The sequence below is a fragment of the Homo sapiens genome, chromosome 4 (assembly GCF_000001405.40).
Source record: "Homo sapiens chromosome 4, GRCh38.p14 Primary Assembly".
Classification (NCBI taxonomy): domain Eukaryota; kingdom Metazoa; phylum Chordata; class Mammalia; order Primates; family Hominidae; genus Homo; species Homo sapiens.
In genome coordinates, this window is record NC_000004.12 from 75,821,918 (window position 1) to 75,839,460 (window position 17,543).

At 41.4% G+C, this 17,543-nt stretch overlaps 1 long non-coding RNA gene and 1 pseudogene across 4 annotated transcripts; one reads left to right on the forward strand and one right to left on the reverse strand.

The window, feature by feature from the left end:
* The first annotated feature begins 599 nt into the window (after positions 1-599).
* On the forward strand, positions 600-16,783 carry LOC105377284 (uncharacterized). 4 transcript variants are annotated; one of them, XR_001741730.1, is made up of 6 exons: positions 600-1,163; positions 2,429-2,512; positions 3,222-3,345; positions 8,451-8,712; positions 15,404-15,515; positions 16,433-16,783. It is a non-coding gene; the product is annotated as an uncharacterized LOC105377284 (long non-coding RNA). The 4 variants fall into 4 exon arrangements; XR_938891.2 differs by lacking the exon at positions 2,429-2,512; XR_938890.2 differs by lacking the exon at positions 2,429-2,512 and having other exon boundaries at positions 8,584-8,712.
* On the reverse strand, positions 7,537-7,672 carry RNU2-16P (RNA, U2 small nuclear 16, pseudogene; annotated as a pseudogene).
* Positions 16,784-17,543: the final 760 nt, after the last annotated feature.

The following is a 17,543-nucleotide window of genomic DNA, read 5'->3' on the forward strand; positions in this document are numbered from 1 at the left end:
TCAGCCTCCCAAAGTGCTGGGATTACAGGCGTGAGCCACCACGTCTGGCCTAAGAGTGGGTTTCACCATGTTGGCCAGGTTGGTCTCGAACTCCTGACCTCAAGTGATCCACCTGCCTCAGCCTCCCGAAGGGCTGGGATTACAGGCATGAGCCACCACGCCCAGCCTTAAACTTTTAATACACACATAAAAGTCTGCTTAGGCTGAGTTATGCTGTAGAAACAAACAAGTCTTAAATTTCAGTGGCTTACCCAAAGGTACTTCTTGTACACATTCATATCTTTGGCATGCCAGCTGTGGCTCTGCTCCAAATCTTCATTTCAAGACCAACACTGAAGAAGCAGCTTCTGGCTGGGTATAGTGCCTCGTGCCTGTAATCCCAGCACTTTGGGAAGGTGAGGCAGGTGTATCGCTTGAGCCCAGGAATTGGAGACCAGCCTGGCCAACATGGCAAAACCCCCATCTCTACAAAAAAAAAATACAAAAATTAGCCAGGAGTGGTGGCACATGCCGATAGTCCCAGCTACTCAGGAGGCTAAGGTGGGAGGATCGCTTGGGACCAGGAGGCAGAGATTGCAATGAGCAGAGATCGTGCCGTTACATTCCAGCCTGGGCAACAGAGTGAAACCCTGTCTCAAAAAAAAGCAGCAACTTCTCTCTGGGAAAGGCAGGTCTTGTGACAGAGGCAAACGAGAGATGGCAGAATCTCACAGTGGCATTTATAACTTCTGCTTTGAAGTGGCAACATTTCCATTCACATGTCATTGGCCAAAGCAAGTCATGTCCAAACTAATATCAATGCAAAGCATAATCCCATAAGGACACATCTGATATAGAGGGGCAGTGAAAATGTCAACAATAATATAATCTATGAGAGGATACAGAAGCATAACCAGTAAATGTTAGTGTCCTTCCCTTTCCTCTTTTCCCTTACTGGTTCCCCCTGAGAAACACAAGTGTACAGCATGGAGAGGCTGTGTGATGTCATAATTAAGAGTGTAGATTCTGAGAACAGACTGCCTGAGTTCAAATCCTTACTCTGCCATTTTCCAGCTGTGTGGCTTTGGGCAAGTTATTTAACCTCTCTGTGCCTCAACTTCTTCATGTAAACTGGCAGTAATAATAATACGAATGCCACAGAGCTGTGGATGAAATGAGCCCATGTAAGTAAAGTGCATAGTACATGGTAAGCCCTATATGAAAGTGTTAACTTTGTTATTGCTCCTGTCATTATTGAAGGAAACCTGGTGGGAAGTCAAAAGACCTAATATAAAATCTCAGCATTATAATTCTTTTTTTTTTTTTTTAAGATGGAGTCTTGCTCTGTCGCCCAGGCTGAAGTGCAATGGCGTGATCTAGGCTCACTGCAACCTCCTGCTGGGTTCCAGCGATTCTCCTGCCTCAGCCTCCAGAGTAGCTGGGATTACAGGTGCGCGCCACCATGCCCAGCTAATTTTTTTTGTATTTTTAGTAGAGATGGGATTTCACCATGTTGGTCAGGCTGGTCTCGAGCTCCTGACCTTGTGATCCGCCCACCTTGGCCTCCCAAAGTGCTGGGATTACAGGCGTGAGCCAGCGTGCCCGGCTGCATTATAATTCTAATAGTGACTTTGAGCAAGTTACATAATTTCTGCAAACCGCTTATTCCTTCGTCTGTAAAATTAGAATAACACTCATTTCTGGAGAGGCCACTTAGGACAATGGTTAAAAGTATGGACTGTGGAGCTGGAATACCTTGGATCAAATTCCAACTCCACCACTTTCAAACTGTGTGACTTTGGGCAAATTACTTCAATTTTATTATCCATAACACAGGGACAATCATCATACCTTACCTTCACAGGAATAGTATGAGAATTAAGTGGATTAACAGTTGACATGCAACATTGTTAGAATAGTGCCTGGTGCTTAACAAAGGTTCATTAACTGTTTGGCACATAGAGGAAGTGCTTCATAAGTGTTAACTATTCTCACAGGCTATGAGGGGATTGGCTGTATGAACAGGCATGAAAATGCTTTATGAAAAGCAGTGGTCAAACACGGAGACTCAGGAATCTGCAGTATAGAAGTCTATGGCTATGTCGTTAGGCTTAACCAGGCTTAGCATGTCCAGCCAGTGGCAAGCACTTTCTTCTGGAAGCCTGTCTGGTGCAGAGGGACCTCCTTAACTGTTTCCTTTCATGGGGATGGGCCCTGGCTGCTGTGCTTGTACCTTATAACTTGTAGAAGCAAAAGCTGATACTTCACCCTGTTTCCAACATGATTGAGCACTTTACAAATCAAATTCAGGACAAACAAAGCTTTGCACCCTGAGATAAACCAAAACCACCCCGACTAGTTCTGATCTCTAAAATAAGAAAACCTTGACTTATTTCTTGTAAAACTAAACTCCCTAACCAAAATAATTTTACCTCTGATTTTTGCTAAGGAATGTCTGAAGACACATCATAACCTTTGTGACAATGCTAATCATGTGGGAATGGTGCTGTTTCCCCACCACAAGCTGGCCAATGTAACTATTATAATCTTGGTAACTTTGAGGGGTTTTTTTTCCTTTAAATGTTTGTTTGGGGCCGGTCATGGTGACTCATGCCTGTAATCCCAGCACTTTGGGAGGCCAAGGCAGGTTGATCACTTGAGGTCAGGAGTTCAAGACCAGCCTGGCCAACATGGCAAAACCCTGTCTCTACTAACAGTACAAAAATTAGCCGGGTGTGGTGGGGCATGCCTGTAGTCTCAGCTACTTAGGAGGCTGAAGCAAGAGGATTGCTTGAGCCCAGGATTTTGAGGTTACAGTGAGCCATGGTCATGTCACTGCACTCCAGCCTGGAAAACAGTGTGAGACGTTGTCAAAAAAATATATATCTATATATAGATATATATAATATATATATCTATATATAGATATATATAATATATATATCTATATATATAATATATAACATATATTATATATATAATATATAACATATCTATATATAATATATATATCAATATATAATATATATCTATATATATTATATATATTTATATATACACACATATATATAATATATACATATACAATATATGTTTTTGTTTTCTAATTTGAAAAGTCTGTTTTTCCAAAGTCTAACTCCCTCTTTCTTTGTAAGTAAACTCTGTCTTTTGTTTTCTAAAATGTTTCTATCTTGGCTATAGTTGACTAGACGAGGGAAATTCATATCTGTATTCTTTTTCAGTCCGGTCTGGCTTCTTTAACCAGGAAGATGTGGGCTGAGAGCTGTGGAGTAGATGTCTTCACCAGATGAGTACACAGAGAAGTAGAGAATGTGTATCTGCAGAGTAGGATGAAGCAGAGACAAGGTGGGATGGGAGAGAGACAGGGGCTGCAGGACAACCCTACCATCAATACACCCAACAGTCGCCATCCTACCCCACTTATTTATTCACTTAGTAACACTAATTACTCTCTAAAAATACTTGACTATTTATTTGTGTATCTACACCCACAGGAATGGATGTAAGTGCTATGAGGGCAGGAAGATTGTTTTTCCTACCACTGAATTCCCAGGACCTCAATCAATGCTTGGTATATAGTGGGCACTCCATAAACATTGGCCGAATAAATGAATTCTATTTACTTGTTCACAATTGTAGGGGAGGAAAAAATTATGTTCCTTCTATCCATCTTAAATTCATTGGCTGAGGCCCCAGTAAATTAGACTGAATAAAGATAGACTAATAAAAGTATGCAAATTGATTTAATACAAAATTTACATGTTGTGGGAGCCTTCATAAGGAAATGGAGACCCAAATAAATGGTGAAACTCGAGCTCGATGAAGAGTGGAAAATCGTGGGTAAATGTGATAGGACAAAAAGGGGTATGAGCTAAGAGTGGTAAACTGGGGCAAGGCACATTCATTCGGGTTCCTCTCAGCAGTCTTCCGTCTTTGGAGATAAGGATGCTCCTTTTCTGCAGATATAGGGAGGACACCTCTCACATGAGGGTCTTGTAAGCTGTTTCAAAGGAAGCTCAGAGAGTCCTTCCAGCACCTGCCATTTATCAAATCCCTCAGCTTAAAATATTCAGTATGCCAGTGTGCCATATTTTGGGGTAATATATTCTGAACCCTCCATAATCAAATTAAAATTTTGAGAGCTTCTGTCCTATTGTTTCAAAGATCTTGTTACCTGCTTTGAGTTATTGAGAATTTAACAGAATTGGGGATATGAAGTCTGAGACTTTAAAAATGATGAGACTTTACTACATGGAATGAGTTTTAGTGGAGCAACCCTTCAAGACAGCCAATAATGTGTGAAACCTCACCAACCATCATGCAGAATGATCTAGGATGATTTCTCCCAACCACTCCCATGGATTATAATGAGGAGCCCTCAACAAAAGGAGAGGGGGCTGTCATGGTTTGTTCCTGTCTTTGTTATGAAATCCAAAGGCACATGATTGCTTGGTTTTATGTGTGACTTTTATGGAACATTATTTATCCAGAAGAAGTTCCCTTCAAATTGCCTTTACCTTCCAAAATAGTCAAAGGAATGCCCTTTATAAGCAGGCAATTAACATGGGCATTTTGTGCAATTTATAGTAATAGACTAAAATGTTTCTCATATTATCCACCAAGTTCCTGTTCTTGATAAATCTGTTTTGATCACAATAAATATTTTTTCTTTTTCTTTTTTTTTTTTTTTTGTTGTTGTTTTGGAAATGGAGTTTCACTCTTGTTGCCCAGGTTGGAGTGCAATGGCACGATCTCAGTTCACCGCAACCTCTACCTCCCAGGTTCAAACGATTCTCCTGCCTCAGCCTCCCGAGTAGCTGGGATTACAGGCATGCGCCACCATGCCCAGCTAGTTTTGTAGAGACGGGGTTTCTCCATGTTGGCCAGGCTGGTCTTGAACCCTTGACCTCAGGTGATCCGCCCGCCTCGGCCTCCCAAAGTGCTGGGATTATAGGCCTGAGCCACCATGCCCAGCCAAATATTTTTTTCTAGTTAGGTATTTAATCTTTGTTAATATGGAGATAAGCAATTTCCCATCTTAATTAAGGAGTAATGTGGATCTGTATGGCTCATTTTTGTTTGCTCTCCTCTAAATGAGAAATTTTTCTATGGGCTAAAATACCATTTAGTGAATTTAAGCACTCATCAAAATTTTAAAATAAATGTATTTATTGTGCCCATTTGTTTCCAGAGTTTCCTTGTTTTTGAGTTCTTTTTTCCCATGCGTGTGTGCATGTGTGTTAAAGATACAAATAAACCATTTGTGAAGATACCATTGTTTTTAAAGAACTCATTTTCAAATGATGCAGCAGTATCTTCAACAATGTTTTATAAGCCCTTCCGATCTATATTTAGCTTTGTAGAAAATGTGTTCATAATGAGGAAGGCTCAAGGTGCAGAATATGGGGGGGGGGCAGTGGTAGCTGGGTCCTGTCTTCACTACAAAACCAAGGATCCTTGGTTTAAGTGTTCCACTGTATTTACATTTATTTGGGCAGATAAATATTTGCCATGGCCAGGCATGGTGGCTCACACCTGTAATCCAAACATTTCAGGAGGCCGAAGTGGGAGGATCACTTGAGCCTAGGAGTTTGAGTCTAGCCTGGGTAACATAGTAAGATCCTGTCTCTTACAAAAAAAAAAAAAAATTAGCTAGCTAGGTGTGGTGACTCACCTGTAGTCCTAGCTACTTGGGAGGCTGAGGTAGGAGGATCACTTGAGCTCAAGAGTTTGAGGCTGAAGTGAGCTATGATTGAGCCATTGTACTCCAGCCTGGACAACACAGACCCAGGCCCTATCTCTTAAAAAAAAAAAAGTATATATATATATTTTAAAAATAGAAACATTTTCCTTAGTTCCTCTTTTATGTAAATTACTTTGAGTTGTGCTCTCCATACTTTTTCTTTATTCTGTTGGGACTCAGAGAACACTACTCCAAAATGAAGGCCTCAGAAGTAGCTTCAGAAGCAAAAAGTTTTATCTGACCTTCTGCCCTCCTGTCTCTCAGTCCCATTATCCCCCAAAGCTAGTGCTAGAAACTAGAATCCCTCTTTCCCAAGGCAAGTCATAGAAACCAGAACACCTTTTCACTCTTAACTTTCCCTTTGCCTGTCTGTGTAAAACCTAGCCATAAAGAAATTATCTGGCCAGGTGCGGTGGCTGGTGCCTATAATCCCAGCACTTTGGGAGGCTGAGGTGGGTGGATCACCTGAGGTCAGGAGTTCGAGACCAGCCTGGCCAATATGGCGAAACCCCGTCTCTACTAAAAATACAAAACATTAGCCAGGCATGGTGGGTGCCTGTAATCCCAGCTACTTGGGAGGCTGAGGCAAGAGAATCGCTTGAACCGGGGAGGCGGAGTTTGCAGTGAGCCAAGATTGTGCCATTGCACTCCAGCCTGGGCAACAAGAACGAAACTCCACCTCAAAAAAAAAAAAAAGAAAGAAAAGAAATTATCTGACCTACTTCGTTTGAATGTAGGTCACAAGACCCCCATTCCAGAGAGGGTTCTGCCCCGTACCCAGAAGGAAGGAAAAGTAGGAATGCTGCTCAGAGAAGCCAAGAAGAATCTAGACAGACAGCCCTTGCTGAGTTTCCGCTCAGTCTGGTAGCATGCTCTTTTGTCCAATCATATTTCTACACATTGTTCCATACTTTGTTGAATGTAAGCATAAAAATGGACACTGTCCCCTGTATCTTTGGGTCTTCGTTCTGAAGGCTACTGTGCACATGTTAATAATAAATTTATATGCCTTTTCTATTAATCTGGCTCTTGTCCATGATTTTTTCAGAGAACCTCCAGAGAGTAAAGGGGAAATTTTCCCTTGGCCCTGACAGGTCTCCTAACTTTCAGTAGTTTTGTATAATGCCTACACTTCTGTGATGGTTTTGTATTTTTTTCTTGTTTTGGTTAAGAAAGGCAGTTACTTTTATTCAAATTGATTTGAAAGCAATATAAGAAGTGATTTGTGGAACCTTGGATGAAAATGGACCCATTGTCAGTCACTGTTTTTGAATGTTTTAGTACAGCCTGTTACATAATAATTGAGTCATCATTCCACCAATCTGATTCTTTATTATTCTTTGTGTTTTAAAAACGGGGCTTTGGTCTTCATTTTCTATCTTTCCTACTTTATATAATTGAAATTGCTCAGACTGATTAAATTAATATTATCAAGTGAGAGAACTGTATGTCTACATGAGTAAAAAGTCTTAGTCATCGTCAAAAGAATGTTAGAATAGACAATGACCTTGGAAAATTGTTGTATTATAGATATCTGCACATTGAACTCTATTCCTCTTATTAAGGAAGTACAGATGGAGAAGTTTATCTATTCGGTGTTTATTACTGCATTAAAGTCTCACCAAGTACCTATTGACTACATCTAAATTATAGTAATTTTTTAAAAAGGCATGAAATATAAATGTCTCCACTTGGGCACAAGCACATCCAATTGCCTTTAATGGAGATAAAATAACCATTAGGATCTTTTCCAAGCCCTTGAGCATTAGATGAAAATTTTTATAATTAGAGTGTGTAGCAATGGCTTTTAGTTTTGAAGTCTTTGCAGCCATATATTTGACTTTATTTATTTATTGGTTGTGAGACAAGGTCTCACTCTGATAAGAACAGATACTACACTTGATCTTAGCCAAAAGGCCAAGAAGCGATAGAGTCTCACTCTGTCACTGGGAGTGCAGTGGCACAATCACAGCTCACTGCAGCCTCAACCTCTGGGCTCAGGTGATCCTCCCACCTCAGCCTCCCAAGTAGCTGGGACTACATGCACACTGCACCAAGCGCAGTCAATTTTTCTATTTTTTGTAGAAATGGGTTTTTTTTCATGTTGCTCAGTCTGGTCTCGAACTCATGAGTTCAAGCAATTCTTCTGCCTTGGCCTCCCAAAGTGCTAGGATTACAAGCATGAGCCACTGCACCAGACATATTTATATTTGTTATATATTAAAAAACTTTTTTTGTAGAGATGGGAGTCTCACTCACTATATTGCCCAGGCTGGTCCTGAACTCCTGGGCTCAACAACCCTCCTGCTTCAGCCTCCCAAAGTCATTTGACTTTAAACAGCCAATCACTTTCTTGAGTGGTAGATTAGATCATTTCAGTGTGTTTCTGGTAACACTATGAAGTTTTTGCTTGGTTTTTAGCAGAATTCATTTATTCTAGGTCTTTTTGATGACTTGCCTTGGCCAGGATTGGCTAGCAGATTTTACCTGTATGACAACTTGGTGCACTGGTGCAATTTGGTTGAGATTATGAGACCACATTTTGCTCAGTGGGGCAAGATGTCCTGCTCCCTTAGTGATGTCTGCCATGGGAAAGAGAATGGATATTGGTGATGGGTTGTACATCTGCCATCAAGTAAGCACAGTGAAGCCTTTAGGCAACCTTTGAAAGCCATTGAGTTACCTTTAATGCTCTCTCATTTTTCAGATGAATTTAAGTGAATAATGATGCCAAAGCATCTCATGGAAAAAAAAACATGAATAAAAAGCATTGCTCTAAATGTAACGTTATCAAAATCACTGGTTAAAGCAACATATAGCACTCTTGTTTTTGATACCAGTCTTGTGAATAAGGTATTCAGGAAGCACAGCTGTCTTTTGTTCCTGAAGCCGTATCAGGATTCAGCAGGAAAGAGCACCAAGATCACTTGGCAATGTTTATCCTGATCAAGCACGGGCACTGATGGCAGGTATGCCAACTATTTTGACATAAATTCTAGATATATGGTAGACCTGTACTATGTCATATCTATGTCTATGTTTATATCTATATCTATACAATGTCTATAACTATCTATCCGTTTGGAAAGAGCAAGAATTGGTTCTTTTCGGGGTTCTCTCCTATATCCCATACAATCAAACAATAAATATGTGTTGAATAAATCACTTGTGCAAATTCTAAAATTCACATATGACCCTGTATTTTATCATATCTCCCATAGAATAGGTGAGAACCAGAGAAAAATATTGTTAAGCCCAGGAGCCCAAGCTATATGATCAACTGGAAAGACTCAGTAGGTAATTTGTTCCTAGAAAGCAGCCTATGGCAACAAATGATTGAAATTTCCACCTTGATAAAATGACGAATTACTACATGTCAGAGATTTCTAGTTTGCTTGTAAATAATGAAAGCTGTGATGATAAATCCCAGATTTTCACCCTGAGGTACCCTATCAGCAAAACAGTAAATGCCATTCATTCTTCTGGAGGCCTTGCCAAAAAAAGTCATTGCCTAACTAAAAAATATGCTGGAGTCTCACATTTTGTCTTAAAATTTCATGTGAATTTTGGATTTTATGCCACAATACATATTTATTATAATATTAACATTAAATTACCAGTTAAATTTCTTAAATTTTTCTAAAAAATTTTGAAAAAGCTGATAGTCCCAGAAGATGTATCATGTTTAGCTTGTGTCTTGGCATATCATCAAGTCCAAGGAGCACATGACAGATGAGAAAGGTGAGTGTAATCCATGGAACTTGGTCAATGCAGTAGGTTGAATTGTGTCCCCCCAAAAGATATGCACAAGCTCAGCTGGGTGTGGTGGCTCACACCTGTAATCCCAGCACTGTGGGAGGCCAAGGCAGGCAGATCACTGGAGGTCAGGAGTTTGAGACTAGGCTGGCCAACATGGTGAAATCCCATCTCTACTAAAAGTACAAAAATTAGCCAGGCGTGATGGCAGGTGCCCATAATCCCAGCTACTCAGGAGGCTGAGGCAGGAGAATCGCTTGAACCTGGGAGGCAGAGTTTGCAGTGAGACAAGATTGCACCACTGCACTATAGCCTGGGTGACAGAGCAAGACTCTGCCTCAAAAAAAAAAAAAAAGATATGCATAAGCTCTAGCTACCCCACTCCTTTTTCTGTGAATGTGACCTTATTTGGATATACGGGTCTTTGCAGATATAATTAAGTTGAGGATCTCAAAATGAGATAATGCTGGATTTAATCCAATGAGAGAGATCTGAGACCCAAAGAAACAGGGGAGACAGTCATATGAAGAAGGAGGCTGCTATGGTTTGGATGTGGTTTGTCCCCACTAAAACTCCTGTTGAAATTTGATCCCCAGTGTGGCAGTATTGGGAGATGGGAAGTGTTTGGGTCATGGGAGCAGGTGTCTCATGAATAGGTTAATGCCCTCCCAGTGGAGAGCATTCTCATTCTTGTGGGACTGGATTAATTACTGAAGAGCAGGTTGTTATAACAGTGAGTTCAGCCTCCTAGACTCTCTCTCTTGCTTCCTCTCTCACCATGTGATCTTTTGGCACACACCCGCTTCCCCTTCCTCTTTCTTCCATGAGTTGAAGTGGTGTGGGACCCTGACCAGTTGCAGCTACCCAATCTTGAATTTCCAGCCTACAGAACTGTGAGCTAAATAAGCCTCTTTTCTTTATAAATTACCCAGTCTAAAGTGTTCTGTTATAGCAACAAAAATAATGGACTAAGAAAATGGTAGGAGACGCCCTGGCTTGGTGGCTCATGCCTGTAATCCCAGCACTTTGGGAGGCCAAGGCAGGCGGATCACCTGAGGTCAGGAGTTCAAGACCAGCCTGACCAACATGGTGAAGCCCCATCTCTACTAAAAATACAAAAATTAGCCGGCCTTGGTGGCACGCACCTATAATCCCAGCTCCTTGGGAGGCTGAGGCAGGAGAATTTCTTGAACCCAGGAGGCAGAGGTTGCAATGAGCTGAGATTCTGCCACTGCACTCCAGCCTGGGTGACAGAGCAAGACTGTGTCTGGAAAAAAAAAAAAAAAGTGAAAATGGCAGGGGTTGAAGTTATGATCCCACAAGCCAAGGAGCTTCAAGAGCCACCAGAAGCAGAAAGGATTCTCCTTGCAGCTTCTGGTGGCTGGAAGGATTCTCCCCTAGAGCCTTCGGAGGGAGCATGGCCCTGCTGACACCTTGATTTCTGAATTGTGGCCTCTGAAAGTACAAAACAATCATCTTTCGTTTTAAGCCACCAAGTTTGTGGTTACTTCAGCCCTGGAAAATCAATATACTTAGGAATTGCAAAAATTACAATTCCAAAGATAATACTTCCAATACTTGAATCCTGCTCTGGCCATATAGTTCAAAGTCATTTTTAACCATTGCTCTCAGACAAAGTGGCAAAGCTACAACTAATCCTAAATCCAATGTCTGATCAGCTTTGCTAACTACCCTCACAGTAGCTTGGCAATTAAACCTTTATCTTGAGACCATTAGCAGTTTTACTAGATTCAGGTGACATAAAAATGTACAAATTTGGATAAATACCAAGGAAAATAACTTTGTCTAAAAAAATTCAATTATTTGTGCCTCAAAGTATTAATTCTTTGGTCTGAACTTCAGTTCTCTAACTAGCCTCACTGAACATTGGTCTGTAATGTTCACCTCTTGTCTATTGCCATTTTGTAAAAGTATCTAGAAGGTTTAAAAAAAAATAGTTGTGAAGAAAGATTGCCAGAAGATATATTTTAATATTTTGTAAAGTATTTTTAAATAACTTACAGGCACGAACTCATCTGGTATTGGCAACTGTGACTTGGAAAATAAATTCAGCATATTTTTACACCATACTACTAGACAATTTGGTCACATCCATCTATATAATTAGAAGAGCAGGAAAATGGGGCACTCTCACAGTGTATATTAAAAATTGTGAAAAACGTTTCACAAAATGCTAGGAAATTAAAAGCCATTTTATACATGACTGACAAGAGAAAATTGATTAGAAAACAAAACCAAAATAAACAATGTTTCTTTTTTTTCTTTTACTTTGAGAGGATCTCACTATGTTGCACAGACTGGAGTACGGTGGCATGATCTCGGCTCACTGCAACCTCCACCTCCCAGGCTCAAGCCATCATCCTCCCACCTCAGCCTCTCAAGTAGCTGGGACTAGAGGCACCTGCCACACGCCCAGCTAATTTTTGTATTTTTCGTAGAGACAAGAGTTTGCTATATTGCCTAGGCTGTTCTTGAACTCCAAGCTCAAGCGATCTACCCTCCCTGGCTTCCCAAAGTGCTGGGATTGCAGGCATGAGCCACCACACCCAGCCACCAGCAGTGTTTACGATGCCAAAAGTGACATTAATTTCTGGCCGTATAAATATTAAAAACATTATTATGTCACTTAGTAGATTCAGAGCTTGGTTTCCCATGACTTTCAGTTAGGTAATCTTTTAAATTTGGTCCATCATTGTTTGAGAGAATAGATCAAGCTTTCTTTGAATGTGAGAATATCTTTGCCTAAAATTACTCCCACTTCTGAATCTCACAATACATTAAAAAACAAAATATCAGTGAATTTAATTTAAGGAACTAACTGACATGTGTTAGCAATTCATGAATCAGGCAGCATCCTGTTTATAAACTAGAGGGAGCTCCCTTGGGCATGGCAGAACAGTTGGTTTTTATAAGATAGCTTGAGCAAGAACAAGGAAACAGCATAGGGCAAAAAGTGACATTAGGTTACTACTTCAGGTTACTTTCCTTGATGGGTTAAAGCAGAGGGGGCTTCCTTATCATGTCTGCTCAGGTTAACTGGGTCCTTTACAAGTGGTTGCTGTGAATCTCTTTGGTTTTTGGGAAAACTACCTATTTGGAAATTGTTCTGTTTTTTAAAGTTTCAGTTTGATTGTGTGGTGCTTGACGTGAGTGACTCCATTTTGGTTTGGTCTGTTGGGGCCAAGTGCAGGAGCTCAGTCAAAAACAGTGGGTGACTCCATTTTGGTTTGGTTGTTGGGGCTGAGTGCAGGAGCTCAGTCAAAAACAGTGGGCTCCCTTAAATTTTATTTACCACTGAATTCAATCCTTTCTGTTTTACTCTCTTTCAAGTATCTTCTTCTAAATTTCCTAAAAGGGTGGAGGAGTTTATAAAGTTGCTATCCCCTAAGTACAGAGAAGGAAACTGTATTAAAAATGGCTCCAACAATGGGGCACTTCTCAAATCACAAGGCATCTCCTATTTCAGAATTTTTGTTTCACAACTAAAAAGAATTGTTTTACCCCGGTTACTCATGTACTCTTGCTACATTGTTCTTCAAGCAAAAGCTCTGAATTAGAGGTTGCTGCCCTTGAGTGTCTTCTTTAGCCCAATGACTTATATTTACTGGGTAAATAAAATAGAATTTTAGGAATCTGTTCTTACGATATACCAAACAAATTCTAAAGTGCTACTTTTCCTAATAGCAAACAGCAGCTACAGTTTCAGGTTAAACAAAATTGCATTGTTTAAGCCAAGCACCATTACAAGATTTGTGGAGCAAGGAACAGATTCAAGTTGTTATTTAAATTATAAAGATAGATGCAAATAGAAATGTGTTTCTGATTGTAGGAAAAGACATTCTATTAGAATTTCATAAAGGAAGTTGACACCATTAACCCATTTGTTTTTTACCAGGATGTCAATGTTGAAAAGCAGGTTATTTAATTCTGCTATTTAAAAGTGGCTACGGACCAGGCGCAGTGGCTCACGCCTGTAATCCCAGCACTTTGGGAGGCTGAGGCAGGCGGATCACCTGAGGTCGGGAGTTCGAGACCAGCCTGACCAACATGGAGAAACCCCATCTCTCTACTAAAAATACAAAATTAGCTGGGCGTGGTGGCGCATGCCTGTAATCCCAGCTACTCGGGGGGCTGAGGCAGGAGAATCGCTTGAGCCCAGGAGGCGGAGGTTGCGGTGAGCCGAGATTGCGCCACTGCACTCCAGCCTGGGCAACAAGAGTGAAACTCCATCTCGAAAAAGAATTAATTAAAATAATGATAGGCTGTGGAAAAGGAAGGATTTACAAGAACTGTAAATCCTTTTTTCACCTCTATTCCCTAGGACTCTAGTTTTCCCGTGAATTCATTTTTGTTTCTCCTTTACAAAACTATAGATATGCAGAGGCCAAGGGAAAACTTCCCCTTTACCCTCTGAAGGTTCACTGAAAATCACTGACAAGAGGCAGATTAATAGGAGAAAAGGCATACAAATTTACACAGAAGTCTTCAGAGTGAAGACCCAAAGATAAAGAGGACATTGTCCATTTTTATGCTTAGGTTCAACAAAGTATGGACAGCTGTGTAGAAATCTGATTGAACAAAAAGGGTAGATCCAATGCCAATAGACTGAGTGGGGAAATGTAGTAAGGCCTGTCTGTTCAGATTCTTCTTGGCCTCTGTGTGCATACATTCCTTCCTGCTGGAGATGGGGCAGAACCCTCTCTGGAATGGGGGTCTTATGACCTACAGTCAAACAAGGTAGGTCAGATCATTTCTTTATGGTCAGGTTTCACACAGAAAGATGGAGGCGCCGGGCTGCGGTGGCTCACGCCTGTAATCCCAGCACTTTGGGAGGCTGAGGCGGGTGGATCACAAGGTCAGGAGTTTGAGACCAGCCTGGCCAATATGGTGAAACCTCGTTTCTACTAAAAATACAAAAATTAGCTGGGCATGGTGGCACACGCCTGTAGTCCCAGCTACTCAGGAGGCTGAGGCAGGAGAATCACTTGAACCCGGGAGGTGGAGGTTGCACTGCACTGAGCTGAGATCACACCACTGCACTCCAGCCTGGTGACAGGGCGAGACTCCTTCTCAAAAAAAAAAAAAAAAAAAAAGATGGAGGGAAAGTTAGATGTTATTTTAAGTTTTATGACTGGCTTTCGGGAAACAGGGTTCTGGTTTCTATGACCTGCCTTGGGAACAATGGGACTGAGAGACAGAACAGGAGAAGGTCAGAGGAAAACTCGCTTCTGAGGCCTTTGTTTGGGGATATTGTCTTCTGAGTCCCAACAAATAGTTATACAAATTTCAAACTACTCAGAGCATCTCATTCTTACGTGAAAGAAAAATAAATCTTTTTTTTTTTTTTTTTTTTTTGAGATGGAGTCTTGCTGTGTTGCCCAAGCTGGAGTGCAGTGGCGCGATCTTGGCTCACTGCAAGCTCCGCCTCCCGGGTCCACGCCATTCTCCTGCCTCAGCCTCCCCAGTAGCTGGGACTACAGGCACCCACTACCACACCCGGCTAATTTTTTGTACTTTTAGTAGAGACGGGGTTTCACCGTGTTAGCCAGGATGGTCTGGATCTCCTGACTTCGTGATCCGCCCGCCTCAGCCTCCCAAAGTGCTGGGATTACAGGCGTGAGCCACCGCGACCGGCCCTGAAAAATAAATCTTAAGACCCCAAAATCACTAAGCCAAAGGGAAAAGTCAAGCTGGGAACTGCGTCAGGCAAACCTGCCTTTTATTTTATTCCTAAATAAGATAGCTACAAAGAATTTAAAAAGCTACATACCTTCTTCACAATTTGCCCATTAGGAAATTTCTTGTGGGCCCCAAGATCTTTACCCTAAAATTGTTCTGTTGAATTTTACTCTGGCAAGGTAAATTGACAGCCTATCTTCACAGATGCAGGACAAAGGACAGAACTCTAAGTCATCCCTGTGCTCACCTGAGACAAATGCATGTCTGATTGCTTCCACTGATGTAAAAATGCAGATTTGCTGAGTTAGACGAAGACGTAAGTAACTTTCCTCTAAGGCCCTCTCACGTGTAAATTGTGTATTCGGTGATGGCCAAAGGCTCAAAAGAATGCAAATGTTTGTCTCTTATCTACCCACATCTTTTAAAATTTCTTTCTCTTTCCCCAATATCTGTCCTTTCCCCTTTAAATATTGAAGCCCTTAAAATCATCTTTGGAGAAGGCACAGACCTGGCCCCTGGGCATGCATTCTTAATCTTGACAAAATAAATTTTCTAAAATTTCTTTTTTTTTTTTTTCCCCAGGTGGGGTCTTACTGTGTCACCCAGGCTGGAGTGCAGTGGTGCAATCTCAGCTTACTGCACCCTCCACCTCCTGGGTTCAAGTGATTCTCCTGCCTCAGCCTCCTGAGTAGCTGGGATTGCAGGCACCCGCCACCACACCTGGATAATTTTGTAGAGACGGGGTTTCACCATGTTGGCCAGGCTAGTCTTAAACCCCTGACCTCAAGTGATCTGCCTGCCTTGGCCTTCCACAGTGCTGAGATTACAGGCATGGGCCACAGCATCCAGCCAAATTTTCTAAGTTGATTGAGGCCTGTCTCAGATACTTTTTGGTTCACAGATTGGCAACCATGAAGGAAGTCAGGTGGAGATGCCCTTGACCTTTGGCAAATCTCCTATCTGGCTGGAGCTATCTTTATTGCTCAAACTAATAGGTCAATTTGCTTAGGCCTGGGAGCTGCCCCCTCCAGAGAATCCCTGATCTCCCAAAATTTGGTTGAAATCTAAGGTTTATTTTGCTGTACAACTCCTTTTCTGGAGTTTTACTCACTTTCAACAAGGAAAGTGAGCTTTTCCTGCTTCCATAATGATGGAGAGCAGGCAACTCCTTTCTGGAGTTTCAACTTGCTTTGAACAGGTAAGGCGAGTTTGAGGTTTTTTTTCTGCTTCTAGGATGGCAGAGAGCAGTCTTCATCCTGAGCCCCATTCCTAGGTAAGTAGCTGAATTGGGGTTTTGTTTTGGAAATTCTCCTTAATGGCTAAAGTTAAGATTAACAACCAGCTGGTCTTAATTTCTTCTTACCATTAGAGCACTCAGTAATCTAATATAAATTATAAATCTAATATATTAGATTTATTTTGGGTTTGACCAACTCTATCTGACTTGATCAAATCCAAAGGAAAGTTCCAAATTATGGGGAATAAGGCCTCTGAATTGGCTACATTCCTGCAGCTGAAAATAAGGAAAGAAAAAAGGGAAAAAGTAAAAGCAGCCAGGCCGGGCATGGTGGCTCAAACCTGTAATCCCAGCACTTTGGGAGGCCAAGGCAGGCAGCCTAGGAATTCGAGACCAGCCTGGGCAACACAGTGAGACCCCATCTCTACAAAAAATACAAAAATTAGTTGGAATGGTGGCATGCGCCTATAATCCCAGCTACTCAGGAGGCTGAGGTGGGAGGATTGCTTGAGCAGGAGGAGGGTGTGGGGGAGGGTGGGGAGGTGAATGCTGCAGTGAGCCAAGATGGAACCACTGCATTCCTGCCTGTCGACAAAACAGCAACAACAACAACAACAACAAGAAAATGACAAGAAAAATAAATAAAGCATGTCAAACAAATATGTCTCTTATTGGGGCGGGGGAAGGAGAAGTATAAATGTGACAAAGTGGCCAGGAATTCTCAAAGTCAAGTTTTAATCCATAATCATTTTAAGCGATTTTGATAAAAGCATTAACATTTTGCCAAGTTCTGTTTTCTCTCTACTTCATGGAAGAGCTAATTCTAAATTTATCTCCCAGGTAAAGATTAGTTTAGGAAATTTCCTTGTATAGTTGAAATTGTTTTTATTTCAAAATTCAAAGCACCCAGTTGGTATTTGGTGAGCATTTCCTGTGTGAGGTACACCAAACCCCTTTGCCCTCCAGGTCCTTCCCGGGACAAGTCAGCAGTGCACAGGTTCCTAAGGTGGCCCTTGGCCCTGACACCAAGGAGTAAATTTGATCGGGTCTGCCTGCCTTTCTTGCTTTTGGTCCCTTGCTTTTTGTTATCTGTTTTCCTTTTTCCAT